Below are 16814 nucleotides of genomic sequence, written 5' to 3'. Positions count from 1 at the left end.
GACTGGATCCATGCGTGACCATATGGAGCAGAGTCCCTACAGATTCATGGGAACATACAGAATGAGCAAGAAATAAACCTTTGACAGTAGTCCTGAGATTTAGGGGATGTCTCTTATCAAAGCAGAACTAGGGTTTCCGGGGATCATCTAGGCTGCAAGGAGGACTGGGTCCTCTTCCCTGAACTCTGATGCAGCAAAGCTACCCCCAGTGCAGCATCACTTTCCACCTCAGATCAGCCCTAAAGGGTTCCTTCCTTTCCTTCCTTCCAGTGAATACTTCAGTTTCCAATAACTATAACTCCTGAGAGGTCCTGTTGATCACAGGAAAGCTCTGATTGTAGAGCATCATCTTTTGACAGACGAAACATTCAGGTCTCCAGGAGTTTCTGCAGATTGGGAGGCACTAACTCCCTCCAGAGAAGCCCCCCGAAGACCTGGGGGCCTCTGTGTTGCCATCAGAGCTGTGACAGTCAGATTGAAGCCAGCCTGGGCATGGCTGTTCTCTACAGTTAGGGCCAGGCCACAGCCCACTTGTGGGAGAGTTGTCCCAAAACGTGCTGCCCAGCTGTAAGGGGGACTGGTTTGAAAAATGACAGGAGGGATCCTGGTAAAAATGGGCCCATCCAGCTATTCCCCCTACCACTGGTCACCAAAGCAGCTGTCCAGGGGGTTGGTTGCCTAGAGCAGGAGTGCGTGAGAACCACTGGGCTTGCAGTGGGCAACCTGTGCTGAGCCCCTCAGACCCTGCCGGGGAAGGCACCATTGTCCCCGAGCCCCTGCAGGGCAGGCTCTGAGTTCCTCCCCTCAGGATCTCCTGAGCCCAGCATCACACATGTGAGCAGGAACTAAAAAAGAGGCAGGTTGAAAAAACACTGAAAGGGAACTGGAGAGGCCAAGTGCTTCGTGGGTGATGGATGGGCAGGTGGACGTGAGTGGCCAATTTGCCAAGTCCTGCAGCGAGGCCCGGCACACACCATAGACCAACCGGATAGGACCTCATGATGGAGGTGAGGCTTTGGGGAGGGCAGAGGGGGTGCAAAGGCTGAGCCAGGCCTGGGGTGGTCATAGAGGGAGCTGGGAGATGAGCCAGGGGCTCAGGGATACTATGCTCTCTACCTTTGGGTACGTTTGAAATTTTCCAATAAAAAATCTTTTTAAAAAGTGGGTTTTGGCCGGGCGCGGTGGCTCACGCCTGTAATCCCAGCACTTTGGGAGGCTGAGGCGGGTGGATCATGAGGTCAGGAGATCGAGACCATCCTGGCTAACAAGGTGAAACCCCGTCTCTACTAAAAATACAAAAAATTAGCCGGGCATGGTGGCGGGCGCCTGTAGTCCCAGCTACTCGGGAGGCTGAGGCAGGAGAATGGCGTGAACCCGGGAAGCGGAGCTTGCAGTGAGCCGAGATTGCGCCACTGCAGTCCGCAGTCCGGCCTGGGCGACAGAGTGAGACTCCGTCTCAAAAAAAAAAAAAAAAAAAAAAAAGTGGGTTTTTCCTCCTGAAACAATTGTTAAGGTTCTGAGTGGTAGGCCTAGGCTTTAAGGACTTAGTATAAATAATGACCTGGGGTTCACTTTACAAAGCATTTAACCCACATCCACATTTAACCCACATCAGCATTTAACCTACATCAGCATCACACCTCCATGGCCAGAGGCTGCACAATCTGAAAATGTGAGAGCAACAGGGCCTACAGGACTGGGCTGTGGCCGGGGTCTGACTGTGAGAGTCCTGCTCTGGGCACACCAGTCACACCTGCTGGCCTGAGAAAGGGGACACACAATGACTGACGCAAGGCCAATCTTCCTCCAAGACATAATTGTGTATGTGTCAAAATTAACGAATTTGGCTAGGCCACAGTACCCAGACCTAGGTACCCAGCCTGAATGTGGTGGTGAAGATATTTTTAGATGGGATTAACAATTCAGTTCGTAGACATGGAGTGAGGTGGATGAAACTCCATGGTGTGGGTGCGCCTTGTCCAATCAGTTGAGGCTTTAAGAAAGACTCGGCTCCCTAGAAGAGGAGGGAATTTCGCCGGGAGACTCCCTGGGACTCGAAGGGCCACACCCGCTCTCCCTGGTCTCCTCCTACCCATCAGCCTGCTCTGCAGATTTCAGACTTGCCAGACCCCATGCCCTTGGGGCCTAGTCCTTAAAAGAAATCTCCTCTGTGTATACACATCCGATGATTCTGCTTCCCTGGGGAGCCCTGCCTCACAGAGTCCATCCACCCTGCTCTCTCCACCCTTAGAGGTGATAGACGCAAAAAACATTAAATAGTTTTCCTTTTGTGTTGTTAACAGTGCTCTCAGGAACATTGTCCCTTCCGTGCATAAGCTGAAGAAATCTAGAATGCAAATCTACCATAATGCAGAATCAGGCCTCTGTCAATATTTAAAGCCGGAAATCTTTGGAGGTACATTATCAATTCCAAGATAAATAACCAAGACTGATACGCTTGAATGCTCATTCAATTCTAACGTGAGAATACAAGTCTCTGTCTGCAAATGAACACAGCAAGTGAATCGGTGGAAAGAAGCTCACACTTCTGGCTGGTTCAGGACACGCAGGTGAAGCTTGCCATGTGGTTCCCAGGCACGCAGCTCGGCATGCGGTCAGCCTTGTCCTGCTCCATCGGGCAGGTCAGGCCAAAATACCAGTGATATCCCTTCTGTACACTGGATGCGCTAAAAAAAAATAGCAGCTGCGATACGGCCAAGCGTTCATGCTAAAGTTTCAGTACCATGGTTCTAGACTTCAGGGCACATGGGAATCTTATTAATTTGTCCAATCCATGTGTCCATTCACTCAGTGGCCACTTCCTAAGGTATGCATGTATGTCCACCTTGCACCGATAACTCAGTCACAAACAGGACAGGGGACCCTGCTCAGGAGGGAATTCTTTTTCTAACAAAAACTATAGTGCAGTTTAAACATTTATATCTATTACCATTGAAATGGGGAAAATACAATGCAATGTGATTATGCCATTCTGAAGAAAATGACAGGATTTACAAAAAGTATTAATTCAAAGGGCGATATGGGGCTACCTCCAGTAACAAGACCCAGGTTTCAAGTTCGGTCTCGACGGCGTATCAAGGTGATTCTAGGTCTCGTTGGGAAAGCCCTCAAAAGCCTGTATTTTTCTAAGTATGCGTTTAGGAAGCATGTGATATGCGCAAGGAAGCCTGAAGGTCGTGAACACAGTTGGGTGAAGTTTCACAACATGAATTCGGGACCTGGCCACCACCCCATTGGGGAAAAAGACCAGGACCCCCTCCTGCAGCTGCCCTTCCTGCCTCCTCCATTCGTCGCAAGAAACTTCACCCAGAAGAGGCCTCACTTCTCAAGACTTTCTGGTTTTTCCTCATTTAAATAAATATTTTTATGAAGGCCAGTTGCGGTGGTGCACACCTGTAATCCCAGCACTTTGGGAGGCTGAAGCGGGTGGATTGCCCAAGCTCAGCAATTTGAGACCAGTCTGGGCAACACGGCAAAACCCCGTATTACAAAAAATACAAAAAATTAGCCGGGTGTGGTGGCGCACCTGTAATCCCAGCTACTTGCGGGGGCTGAGGTGGGAGAATTGCTTGGGCCTGGGAAGTCGAAGCTGCAGTGAGCTGTTATTATGTCACTGCACTCCAGCCAGGGTGACAAAGTGAGACTGTCTCAAAAACAAAACAGTATTTTTATCAAGATACTGTTTACATAGTTGAAAGATTTAAGTAGTATTAAAAAGTGTATCATGAAAACCACTAGAGCCCTGGGGCATCCCTCCCCACCCCAGGGCTTCCAGCCCCCGGCATCTCCCTCCTAGGCTAGTGATGGGTCACTGTGCCTATGGCGACTGATTGAACGGAGGAAGAAGCTACCCCTTCGGGGCCTCCGCAGGGCCCCAGAACTGTGAGCCGAGAAACGTGGAGACGCTGGAGACAGGAGGAGGAAGTCTGCACAGCAAGTGGAGTTGCCAGGCCAAGGAAGCCGGGCCAGGTCTGCTGGTCTCAGGATGCTCCCCGTGGCCAGTCCTAGGCACAGAGATGCTCAGGGAAACAGGTTACTCAGTAGTTCCATGGCCAGGTGAGGGCAGGAACCTGTGCTGTGAGGGGGCAGCACCCCAGGTGGTCTATGCGCAGAACGCAATTTGAGAAACACCGGACGCTGCCAGCATCCTGGGAAGTCCACGTGCTTTCCAGATCCTCCTGAGCCTCTTGCCGAGCTCCATGATGGCCCCAGAGGCTCAGTTCCATACACAGTCCCAGGCTCCCTGCCTGCTAGGTCTCCAAGGAAGGGGCCTCGACCTCGGTCTTCAAGGGCCCTGGAAATTCCGATGTAGCCAGGATGGTACCAGGATGTGGCCCTCACCCTCCACCCCGACCTGAGTTTGGGAATAACCACTTTTTCTGCAAAAGGCCACCTGGTAACTATAATATTTTAGGCTTTCAGGGCTATACGGTCTCTGCAGCAACTACTCGACGCTGCTGCTGTCATAGCATAAGAGTCAAAGACGGCACGACGGATGGGCCTGAGCGCCAATAAAACTTATGTATTATTTACTCAAACAAATTTGGCGGCCCCACATCCAGTCCTAATCCAAGCTATCTGTCAGCCACATTAGGGGTAAAGACAAGTGAAGATCTAATTAAATTGATGAAATCATCCCAAACATCTCCAATTAATAAGACTATGAAATATGGATCAATGCTGGCTATCATTAAGCAGGACACTCCCCTAAGAGTTTTCGTGCCTTCAGATAATACCCCGATAGCAAAGCTAGCAAGCCCTTTAAAACCTAAGTGTTTAGAATACTAGCAACATTTTTTATTTGAAACAGAGTCTCCCTGTTTCCCGGGCTGGAATGCGGTGACGCCATCTTGGCTCACTGCAGTCTTGACTTCCTGGGCTCAAGTGATCCTCCCACCTCAGCCCCTGGAGTAGCTGGGCCTATAGGCACGAACCACCATGCCCAACTAATGCTTGTGATTTTTGTAGAGATGGGGTCTCACCATGTTGCCCAGGCTGGTCTCAAAGTCCTGTGCTCAAGAGATCCTCCTGCCTTACCCTCCCAAAGTGCTGGGATTACATGTGTGAACCACCATGCCTGGCTAGTAACATTATTGATAATACTATGCATATGTTATGTCATGGTATATCATATACGTTATTAATAATGCCATGTACGTATTAATGCCATATATATGCATGTATATATGTCATATATGAGCAAAAAGGTTCTTCTGCTGTTAATAATTAATACAAATTTATTTTTGCAACTTTAACATGTCAATTTATGTTGAATGTTTTTACTAAATAACAGTAGTACAGGAGTTCCCATATATAATTTATAAAATAACAAATGTCTATATTTTGGAGTTACAAGACTAAAATATTTTTCTCTGGATGAGTTCCTCAGCATTTTTTCTTTTGACAAAGTGAAATTTCAGGATTAGGACAGGCAGGAGCAAGAGAGGCTGAAGGTGCATCTCCCCCCTGGGACTTCCCAAGGCCCGTCCTGCCCAGTGTCCTGTCCTCCCAGGAGGAGAGTGGCTTCAAATTTCAAGGTTACCATTTCCAGTTCTCCCAGGAGACTCTAACCTCCAGCCTAGGAGCCACAGGTGGGGGTCCAGACAGGTGCCCCAGCTCAGGGAGCGCTTTTCCAGGATGGACCTTGGGGCCTCAGAATCACTGCTGGGCGGGGTGGGGGTGACAGGGGCAGGGTTGTGAGGGCTCACAGCCCCATGGCCATGGACTGCTTCCAAACGACAGGTGCCTTCTGTTGGGCTCGTAGAGTGTTTTATGTTTTTTTGAAAGTACGAAGTTTCCAACATTTAAAAATTAAATAATTTCACCTAAAAATATGGATTTGCTGGCTCCTTTTGAGAGGCTGGAAGAGGAGGCAGCAGTTCTGGCTCCAACACCCACTGGGAAAGGCTGCCTGTCTGCTCAGATGGCACTTATCTGCCCCCTGACTGCTCAGATGGTGCTCAGCTGTCCCCTGGCCGCAGTCCTCACCCCGCCCTGGTGCTCTCTTCGGCCCAGCCTAAGGACAAGTGCTACCTGTCACCTACTTCTTACTGTCCTTGCCAGAGAAACGGACATTCTCACTTTTGTATCTCTATGTCTCTATCAAAGTGGAAACAGGAAAGAGTTTAAGAAATACACATCTTTCCAGGAAGATGGGAACAACCGACTTTCTTTACAAACGAAGCAGTTCTCAGGACTGGGTTGCTGCTGCTGCTCACCTGCCGCTGGTCGCTGGGGCTGAGAGGTGGGTTCTGCCCGAGAGGGACAGGCAGGGGCGGGAGAGTCCTGGATGGCAGGAGATGCTGGAGTGATGCCTTCCCGGGTGGAAATGAAGATGTCCAGGAGAAGGGGCACCTCTGAGATCGGTGGGGACTGAGGTCAAAGGGCTGGGGCTGTGGTTAGAGAGGAAAATGTTCCCCAGGAATGACTGGCTGAACCTGAGACACGAACCAACATCACCTACAAATCCTCCAAAGCTGAGGGTGGCCTCCTTCCTGCTCTCACATTTCAAAACACACAGCATAGTTCTCGATGAATAATAACAATGCAATGATTTATATAAGTATTTGTATTATACGTCTTCTGTGATCTATGCAGATAGAGCAATGTTATTAGATTACATTGGTATAATAGAATATGGGGCAGTCATTATGATGATGTTAATGGTAACATTAAGTGCACACTCTTTTCCAGGGGCGTTACAGACCCATTTTACAGAAGAGGAGAAGCCCATGGTGCAACTGTCTTGGTGGTGAAGGTGGCAGTAGCTCTCACACACTGAGCCCTGGGGTGTAAGAGTTCACTGCACGGTCTCCAGGACTCGTGTAATCCTCATGAGAACCCTGCCAGCTACATATCTTGTCCTGACACAACAGAGGCGTGAGGGGCTGCAGTGACTCTCACCCAGCCAGGTCTACTTCGATGATCCTCGCTGCAACCACTATGCTTTGGGTCTCTGTTACTCAACACCTACCTTGCCAACACCTAGAATAGGGTTCAGCCAAGTGGCTGTGGCGAATGTGGGCTACGTGAGGATCCTGCTCCATAAAGACCCCACTCTGGGCTGTCATTCAGAATTACTCTGGAAAGAAAGTTGTGGTTCAGCGTGTCGCTTACTGCCAGCGATCAAAGCATCCAGGTTTAATTTTGCCAATCCCTGGGGGTCCTCGACATCAGAGGGGCTGGTGGTTGTTGATCCATACACAAGCTAGGAGGTAAGGAAGACCCCGGCCCCCCCCGGCTGCTGTCCCCCACACCACTGGAAGACCGGATGCTGGGCCTTCTGTTTCTCTCCAGGTGTGTGGGCTCGCCCGTGAGATGGCCTCTTGTTGGAGGGAACACTGGGTCCTGCACCCCCAGGGAAGCTCCCGCGAGGACCGATTAAACAGTGTTGTCAATGTCACCAAGACTGCTCTGTATAAACCAAATGAAGGCCCTCAGGTCAGATGAGATAATAAAGAGGATATTTCTACAGAGATTCAGTGGGAATCAATTCAGTAAGAAATTAGGAGGAAAATAAACGGCCCTGATCACCGAGGGGCCCCGCAGCTGCTCTGTCCTCACGTTTTCTATCCCGTCAAGCCCTGAGCGACAAGGCATGTGCTCAAGCAGGAGGCTCGGCTGCCCTTGGTGGGTATCGGGGTGAGTATCTGCACCTCCTTCCCTGATCGGGAGACTTTATGTCAATCCACTGGCTTTACTTAGTGCAGTGACACAGGGGATGGTGGAGGGGCTAATGGAAGACGAATGCATCTGACATTTCTAGAGCACCGTGGGGGGCCAGTGTTTCTACCCCGCTAGGAAATAAATGTGCAATACCGAGTTTCTGATGAATACTGTGAGAAACAGTCCAAGGTTCAAATTTAACAGCACGGGAAAATGTCTTTTGAATCAGAAGATGAGAACCCAAGGGAGTTGAATTAACAACATAGCACAACATTTTACCAAGTAATAGGACCATATTTCCCCTTTATGGGGCACTGCTCAGGGCAATATTTAATCTCTTGAGTTTAATGAACTTTTGAAACTACTCAATAAATACTCAAGGCCATGACAAGCACTGTCATAAGATAAATCCAGCCCTACTTCAATGGACTATATCATTTCTGTTATTAAAAAAGGTTAATTTTAATATTCAAGGAACTCAGTTCTCTGGAAAATCACGTCGGGGCGCCGTGCGTTCCATCCCGGTGGCGCCCTGTGATCATGCATACTGAGCAGCGTGGGACTCCGAGCGGAATCGCAGGGGAGCCTCTGCTTCCAGGGAGGCTGCGTCCTGACAGCAAAACACTCGTTTGGTGGAAGGATCTGCCTCGGGTTCCTGTCCCTCCCCAGCCCAGAGGCAGCATGTCCGGGTCCCGTGTTAAGGCCACTCACACTGCACGTTAAACCACTGGAGGAGTCCCTGTGACCGTGTCACATGCCCGGGTTCACCTCCTGCAGCACGGGCTGCCCGACCACCACTTGGTCCTGCAAAGCTCTCTAGGCCTTTCTCCACAGCCCCCGCGATGCTGAAACCCACGGCAAGCGAGGCGGGGGAAGGGTTGAGAAGTAGCCAGCTCTCCCCTATCCCATAATATCTCCATGCTGAGTCACTGGGGCTGTCTTTCTCCCAATTGCTCATCTTTGCCTTTCTGCACAATGCAGGCAGGGGGAAGTGTACCTGGCAGAAAAAAATCCCAGAGCCCTGCAGGCCCCGGAGCTGCTGTCCCTCCTAGCGTCTCAGTGTACCCAAGGGCTTGCCTCAGGAAAGCTGCCTGACACCAGCAAATTGGATGCAGGGCAGGTAATTAGGGACAGACAATATCCTCCCACTGTTATTTCTTGTCCACCTACGCAAAAGAAGCAGAAGCACTGGTTCTCCGCTTTTCTACCTAAGGATCGTTCTGCTCACATTCCCCACGGGAGAGAAGAAGAGCTTTGGACCAACTGTCTTACTAACCAAGCACAGACATGCTGCAACCAGGAAACATCCCACAGGAAATGAGACCAACAGATACAAAACACACAGCTTTGCTGTCTAAGAAGGAGCCTCCTCTGTTTAGACAATTGCTGAGCCCCTTACGCCACACGTGCAGAGTGGTGGGGCATGTGTCTAGCCCTGGCGATGTCCCTTAGTCCAATAAAGCGGTTCGGAGGGCGCAGGTGGTGGACATTCTCATCTACCGCAGGAAGTGCCCTGGCTAGCAGGTCACCCACAAAAACCAGCTGCCCCCCACCTTTCTCCTGACGCAAGTGTCAGATCAGATAGGTTTAGCAAGTCCGGACCCAGCCCAGCCCCGACGGCTTCCAGGCCCCTCAATACAGCACTCAGCCCCTCTCCCTAAATGGCACTAATTCTGTCCACTTGAGTAAATTATTGCGTTCCTGGGCTCACTTACTTGGCAAACCACAGAGTGGGCACATCTTGGGGGTGTTTTCTAGAACAAATGTCCAAGTGCTCTGAGGCCTGAGGCTGCGTGCAGACCTTCAACCTGGCACCCCAAAATTCCCCATGCAGGACAAAAAGAAGCAGACAGGAGCAGTGTGCTGTGGTCAGGCTACCCCCCACTGCGGCACTGCCTCCTCTTCCCCAGCTTGTATTAGTGAAGAATATCTCTTTAATAAGTAATTTTTTAACTACAAAATTATTTCAGAGAATTTGGAAAGCCAATACAAAGAAAAAGGAGAAAATTACCTATGACCGCATGATCTCATTCAGGGTTTCCCAGACATGGTGCTATGGGCACCCTATGACCTCATGATCTCAATCGGGGTCTCCCAGACACCGCACTATGGGCACCCTATGACTGCACGATCTCATTTAGGGTTTCCCAGACACGGCACTATGGGCACCCTATGACTGCACGATCTCAATCGGGGTCTCCCAGACACGGTGCTATGGGCACCCTATGACCGCACGATCTCAATCGGGGTTTCCCAGACACGGCACTATGGGCACCCTATGACCGTACGATCTCAATTGGGGTTTCCCAGACACGGCACTATGGGCACCCTATGACCGCACGAACCCAATCGGGGTTTCCTAGACATGGCGCTATGGGCACCCTATGACCGTACGATCTCAATTGGGGTTTCCCAGACACGGCACTATGGGCACCCTATGACTGTACGAACCCAATCGGGGTTTCCTAGACATGGTGCTATGGGCACCCTATGACCGCACGATCTCAATCGGGGTTTCCCAGACACGGCACTATGGGCAACCTATGACTGTACGAACCCAATCGGGGTTTCCTAGACATGGTGCTATGGGCACCCTATGACTGCACGATCTCAATCGGGGTTTCCCAGACACGGCACTATGGGCACCCTATGACCGCACGAACCCAATTGGGGTTTCCTAGACATGGTGCTATGGGCACCCTATGACCGCACGATCTCAATCGGGGTTTCCCAGACACGGCACTATGGGCACCTTATGACCGCATGAACCCAATTGGGGTTTCCTAGACATGGCACTATGGGCACCCTATGACCATACGATCTCAACTGGGGTTTCCCAGACGTGGCACTATGGGCACCCTATGACTGCACGATCTCAATCGGGGTCTCCCAGACATGGTGCTATGGGCACCCTATGACTGCATGATCTCATTTAGGGTTTCCCAGACACGGCACTATGGACACCCTATGACCGCACGAACCCAATCGGGGTTTCCTAGACATGGTGCTATGGGCACCCTATGACCGCACGATCTCAATCGGGGTTTCCCAGACACGGCACTATGGGCACCCTATGACTGCACGATGTCAATCGGGGTTTCCCAGACATGGTGCTATGGGCACTTTGGGGAGGATCCTTTGTTGTGGGGTCTGCCCTTTGCACAGCAGGATGTTCCGCAGCACCCCCAGCCCCCACCCACCAGGTGCCAATTGTTCTCACCCCCTGATGTGACAACGAAAAATGCCTCCAGACATCGCCGTGTGTTCCTGGCCCAGTTGAGAAGCGTCGATCTATAGAACAACAATGAAGACGCTGGGAGGCGTTCTCCCAGTCTTTTCTCTATCCTTTGTCAAATCCAATCATACATTCAAATTCAATCATACAAATCAAATCATACATTGGATTTGTCAAATCCAATCAACAAATATCTAAAGCACCTACTGTGTGCCAGGCATTGGAATTAGGTATGAGAAATACTGTAGTGGACCAGAAAGACATGCTCACTTTTACAAGGGGGCGATATGTGTAACCACAGGGACAAACAGATGTTTAGGAGCTGTGCGAAGTGCCAGAAATGCCCAGCGGCACATGGACATGCCATGTGATAAGATAAAGAACATCTGAGACAGGCCGCCACATGGTCAAGGCGGAAAAGCCAGGAACGAGCCGCCCAAGAGCAAGAGGAGGCAGAGCCTGCACCCCCACCCCTCCCTGCCCCTCCGAGTGCACACAGGTGCACAGCCATGGCTGGGCCTGGGGACTGTGGGCTGACGGACTTCAGCCCACTGGCAGAACAGCCTCTAGCCGTTTGCATTCTCAGAAAACAAAAACAAACACCAGCAAAAAACCTTGATCAGTTTAGCCATACATAAAAGGAAGCTTTTAAAATATGTCCTTTGACTCCATGCTTCTCTTACTTAAAATATCTCCTAAGGAGAGAAAAATTCAAATGTGAAAAGATTGGACTTCAAGGCTGTTTATCACAAAGCAGTTTACAATGTAAAAAAATCGAAACAGAATATAAGGGCTTAAATATAGTATATTATGCTCACACAACGGCATAATTGAAGTTACGTTTTAGATGTACTTTGTTTTCATGAAACAGCTCTAAGAGATGTTGTTAAATGAAAAAAGCACACGATAAAAATGTAACTCATGTATTTGCGCACGCATACACATGTATACACAAACCATACACATGTAGCCAGCATCCCCCTGCTGTCTGTGCTAGCTTTAAAAATCAAGCTGTAGCACAATACAGAGTACCCCCGAGTTGTTTTAAAAACGCTAACGACAGAATAGAAGCATGGGCAGAAGGTATGAATGGGCATGTCACAGGCAACACTCACGGCCAGTGGAGCCTATGAGGGGATGTTAAACCTAATGTGCTATCAGGAAGATGCAAATCGGAGAAGGGTCACGGTATCATCCTGCACCCCTTCGAGGGCTCAGGCTTCCAAGTATGACATGAGACCACTTCTGGGACAGGAAGTGGCTCGCCGCACAGTGCAGCTGTAGGGGCTGTAGGGGCAGAAATTGGGACCCCACTTTGGAGCCGATGAAGGGCAGTGGTATGTGGTCTACTCTTCCAGGAAAGGCGAAAAGTGAGACGGGGGTCAACCCCACACCCCCCTACCCCCACCCACCACCACTCCGACAGCTCAAGCTTCAAGGCAGGGCTCTGCTCCCGGCCGACAGCTGCACAGCCCTTGCCTGTGAGCCTGCAGAAATGTGGACCACGCACATTCTAACTGCAAAGAAACAGCCAGCCCTGCCGTCTCCACCCTGCAGGATGGTAAACTGTGGAGTTCAAACAGTGGTATACCATATGGTGGCCAAAATGTTTGCTTTATAAATCTTATCAACATTGAATGCAAAACTGTTAAGTGCCCCCAAATTATAGACACCCATTTATTACAATTTAAACAACCCAAACCAAAAATAGAGATACCTTTTAGCTAAACACACAGATGTGATGAAACTGCATTAGAAAGCAAAGCAGGGAACAGAGACAGTGGATCTGGGCGGCAGTGGAGACCTGGGGCGGGGCCAGAGGGGGGTGGGGCCGGGAAGGAGTGGGAAGGAAGGGGCAGGGCCACGGGCCGGTGCGGGCTTGTCTGGTGCTCTCACTGCGGAAAAGCTTCACCGTGGAGTGATTAAAAACACATTTATAAAATAGAGGCTTGCGTGGACCAATGACAAGATTGAGCCACGAGCCACTGTGATGATTAATTACGTACCTGAGCACAGACTCAAACAGGACATCGGGATGTGTTTGTGTGTCTGTGTGTATCTTTTTGTCTGTGTGTGTTTGTGTGGCCAAATGTGCGTGTGTCTATGTCTCTGTATGTGTCTGTGTGTATGTTTGTGTGGCTGTGTGTTTCTGTTTGTGTGGCTATATGTGTGCCTCTGTGTATATTTGTGTGGCTGTGTGTGTATATGTATGTATATATTTGTGTGGCTGTGTGTTTCTCTGTTTGTGTGGCTGTGTGTCTCTGTGTGTTTGTGTAGCTGTGTATATGTATGTGTATGTTTGTGTGGCTGTGTGTTTGTGTTTGTGCAGCTGTATGTGTGCCTCTGTGTGTGTTTGTGTGGCTGTGTGTATATGTATGTGTATGTTTGTGTGGCTGTGTGTTTGTGTTTGTGTGGCTGTATGTGTGCCTCTGTGTGTTTGTGTGGCTGTCTGCATGTATATATGGATCTGTGTGTGGGTTTGTGTGTGTGTGTCTGTGTGTGTGTGTGTCATATTAGGGGGGTTAGAGAAGAGGTGAGTATCTTTTACCTTCCAGCATCCTGAACTGCAGGATTTTCCTTTCTTTTAATTGTGAATATATTTTATTTTTATAATTTTTAAACAAAATTGCAAAATATAAAAAGAATCCAACCCAGTAATGTAAACTCATCTCAGAGACGTGGAAAATTGGTAACAGAACTCGCGGGAGTTCCTCCCATGGGCAGCTTACATATCTACATGTATTGACCCGGAGTGTGGTCTTGGGGCCGGTCCTGACGCCTCCTCCCCCCGGGCTCCGGGGAACATCTGCCTCACCCTTCAGGTCCAACTTTGACCTCTCTCAGGAAGCACCTTTGGAACCTGCAGGGTCACCTCTCTCTGTTTCCTGAAGGCACAAAATATCGAGGACAGCAATGGTTTACCTGACGGTGTGCTAGGCACAGTGATGAGTGCTTGGCAATACTCTCCTGCTTAACCCTGAAACAATCCGATGAGAAGACACCGTCACCCCCAGGGGAACATAACACATTTCAGAGATAAAAGAATCCATGTGCAGTTCTCTAGGAAGGGCAGAGCCAGGTAACCCAGCCTCTCTAACCTCATGGTGCCAAACCGCCTCCATCTTCCCATCAAAGACCTCAAGGCCAGGCCCCCCGCATCATTCCACCAGAAGGAAAGAGCTTACAGTACGGGTTCAGTGCATGCCAGGGCTTCCGCAGGGAAGGCTGGGGGAAGGCAGAGTGGAACCACTGGTGAGTAAGAAGTTGACCTAGAGAGAGAGGTGGCTGGGAGGTGAGAATCCACTTATCCAATGTCTCCTGTCTGGAGGAGGGTGTCATGGATGGGTGGGTGTCATCCTGGGCAGCACTGTCAGCATCAGGGAGGCCATGCCTTTGGAGGAGACCGAGAGGTTTTGTTCCTTCCAGGAGCTGTGAGGCCAGGCACAGCACGACTGTGGCTCAGCACCCACAGGGGCTGAAGACCTCCCCAACAACGAACAGCAGTGGTACGTGGTCTATTCTTCCAGGAAAGGCGAACAATGAGACAGGGGTCAACTTCACCCCTACACACCCTTGTCACTACTCAGACAGCTCAGGCTTCAAGGTAGGGGGTCTGCTCCTGGCCGACAGCTGCATAGCTGAGCACAGAGCCACGGGAGAAACATCCATGAGCGTCCCCAGGCGCTAGGACAACTGTGGCTCCTGACCTCCTGCAGCTCAGCTCCAGTCTGGTGCCAGGCATTAAATCCTTACCCACATGATGCATGAACCGCAGCTGCAATCTACATAGCAAATGCCAAGTGCAGAGATCAAGGTGAACAGGAGGCCTGGGCACTCGGGGGCTCTTTGAGTAAATGACACCTACGTTAAAGTTTAAAGGTGGGCAGGAGGGGAGTACGGCTTCTCCCACGAAGAGAAGATGGTGATTCCCGTTGGTGGAAAAGGCATCTGTGACGATCCTGAGCCTGGGAACCTGGCGTGTGGAGAAGCTACAGCCAGCCTGGATACAGCGTGGACAGCAACAGAAGATAACGGGAGAGGAGGCAGGAGAGCAGGAACCAGTCCCTGCAGAGGAGGCTAGTCACGCGTTTGGCAATATGGTAGGGCAGAAATTTGAACCAACGCAGGCAGGGACAGCTGGACATGCTGCATTAAGGCTAAGATGAGCTGAACAGACAGGAAGCGTTCAAGAATTCTTGAGACCACAATCCAAGGGGGCGGGGGGCGGCGGGGATTTCGTCAGTGGCACAATGAATTCAGCTGTTCTTGTCCAGGGGATTTGCCAACCTCCTGATCTGAGCGTTCATCTCATGGTCTTGGAAGGGAAGGGAAGGGGTTGGTTGTGGGGAAAGAAGACAAAGCCTGGGGCCCATCCAGGTGGATGGTCTTGTAGGAGACAGATCGCAGAACGCTGCCACTTCAAAGTGCACATCCTCCGTATAAGGTTAAACCCTAGTCCCTCCTCCTGCCACTTCCAGAGGCTTTAGGGAAGGTGGCTCAGTGGAGCAGAGGGTAGGAGTACTGTTCGGAGAGGATGGAGGCCACATTCACCACACCTAGTTGGTGCCGGTAGAACCCCAAGTTCAAACTCAGTTTAAAGCAGTTCCAAACTGAAAACGCCCCTAGGGCTTGGCAATCGCTAATGCAAAACCTCCCTGGAGACACACATCCTCATCGTAGGAAGATTCTCACCAGTGATATCCCATGGCAAACGAGTAGCTCAGAGTTAGATATGATTACACTATGAGCTAGAACAAGTAGAAACCTCAGACAATAGAATCAGAACTGCAAACATCAGGACTGAGAGGGATCAGACTTAGAGTCTGAAATACCTATGCTTATTATGTTTAAAGAGATTTGTTTAATGACCTAGAAAATAACTTCAAAGAACAGAAAAGTATAAAAAAAGAAGCTGAAAATTAATGAAAGAGAACCCCCAGAAGTGAAAAATAGAGAATTTATAATTTAAAACTTAATGGGTAGGATTAGTAGCTGAGCTGACATTGCTGATGAGAGAATTGGTGAATTGGAAGGCAAGTCAGAAGAAACTGTTTAGAATGTGGTAGAGAGAGACTAAGGGATTAGAAAGAAAAGGGTAGAAGACGCAGAGGGTGGGATGAGAAGTGCTGAGACATTGGGGCAGATGTTCAGAAAAGACTGGTTTGCAGGACAAACCACACATCCAGGTCACCAGCTTCCAGATGGACAGCAGCACAGTAAATGCCAGACCACGCTGTGGAAGCACGGCCTTCTCTATCCTGCCAGGGCCTGAGTAAGAGGCCAGATCTTTAGCACCCCCATTGGTGCTAGTCTCAGTTGGGGCTGACCTGGGTTCCATGCTCTGTGGGGAGACCCTGTCTCTACACTCATGGTTCCTCCTGGTGTGATTCCCAATATCCCCACCTGTGATGGTTAATACTGGGTGTCAACCTAGTTGGATTGAAGGATACAAAGTACTGATCCTGGGTATGTCTGTGAGGGTGTTACCAAAGGAGATTAACATTTGAGTCAATGGGCTGGGAAAGGCAGACCCACCCTCAGTCTGGGTGGGCACCATTTAATCAGCTGCCAGCACAGCTAAAATATAAGCAGGCAGAAAAATGTGAAGAGAGAGACTGGCCTAGCCTCTCAGCCTTCATCTTTCTCCCGTGCTGAATGCTTCCTGCTCTCAAACATCAGACTCCAGGTGCTTCAGTTTTGGAACTCGAACTGGCTCTCCTTGCTTCTCAGCCTGCAGATGGCCTATTGTGGGACCTCGTGATTGTGTGAGTTAATACTTAATAAACTCATACATATTCATATATCTTCATATATACGCATATATATCTTCATATATACGCATATATATCTTCATATATACGCATATATATCTTCATATATATGCATATATATC

General features: G+C 49.8%; 1 protein-coding gene across 3 annotated transcripts in view, besides 5 other annotated features; it reads right to left on the bottom strand.

The window, feature by feature from the left end:
• Nucleotides 1-16814, bottom strand: part of CDH4 (cadherin 4) — a 688357-nt gene that overhangs the window by 540016 nt on the left and 131527 nt on the right. The window lies entirely within an intron of this gene.
• Nucleotides 3524-4023: an enhancer, noted in NCBI's record as "H3K4me1 hESC enhancer chr20:59971635-59972134 (GRCh37/hg19 assembly coordinates)". NCBI's record gives its function as "activates a minimal SCP1, AML or CMV promoter by ChIP-STARR-seq in naive H9 embryonic stem cells {active_cell/tissue: H9 hESC(naive)}" and the evidence as "EXISTENCE:reporter gene assay evidence [ECO:0000049][PMID:30033119]".
• Nucleotides 4024-4525: an enhancer, noted in NCBI's record as "H3K4me1 hESC enhancer chr20:59971133-59971634 (GRCh37/hg19 assembly coordinates)". NCBI's record gives its function as "activates a minimal SCP1, AML or CMV promoter by ChIP-STARR-seq in naive H9 embryonic stem cells {active_cell/tissue: H9 hESC(naive)}" and the evidence as "EXISTENCE:reporter gene assay evidence [ECO:0000049][PMID:30033119]".
• Nucleotides 8192-8791: an enhancer, noted in NCBI's record as "H3K4me1 hESC enhancer chr20:59966867-59967466 (GRCh37/hg19 assembly coordinates)". NCBI's record gives its function as "activates a minimal SCP1, AML or CMV promoter by ChIP-STARR-seq in naive H9 embryonic stem cells {active_cell/tissue: H9 hESC(naive)}" and the evidence as "EXISTENCE:reporter gene assay evidence [ECO:0000049][PMID:30033119]".
• Nucleotides 9561-10760: an enhancer, noted in NCBI's record as "CDK7 strongly-dependent group 2 enhancer chr20:59964898-59966097 (GRCh37/hg19 assembly coordinates)". NCBI's record gives its function as "activates an origin of replication core promoter dependent on BRD2, BRD4, P300/CBP, MED14 and CDK7 cofactors, with strong dependence on CDK7, by STARR-seq in HCT116 cells {active_cell/tissue: HCT116}" and the evidence as "EXISTENCE:reporter gene assay evidence [ECO:0000049][PMID:35650434]".
• Nucleotides 9976-10477: an enhancer, noted in NCBI's record as "H3K4me1 hESC enhancer chr20:59965181-59965682 (GRCh37/hg19 assembly coordinates)". NCBI's record gives its function as "activates a minimal SCP1, AML or CMV promoter by ChIP-STARR-seq in naive H9 embryonic stem cells {active_cell/tissue: H9 hESC(naive)}" and the evidence as "EXISTENCE:reporter gene assay evidence [ECO:0000049][PMID:30033119]".

The sequence above is a fragment of the Homo sapiens genome, chromosome 20 (assembly GCF_000001405.40).
Source record: "Homo sapiens chromosome 20, GRCh38.p14 Primary Assembly".
NCBI classification, from domain to species: Eukaryota; Metazoa; Chordata; class Mammalia; order Primates; family Hominidae; genus Homo; species Homo sapiens.
This window is presented reverse-complemented; position numbering and strand designations above follow the sequence as displayed.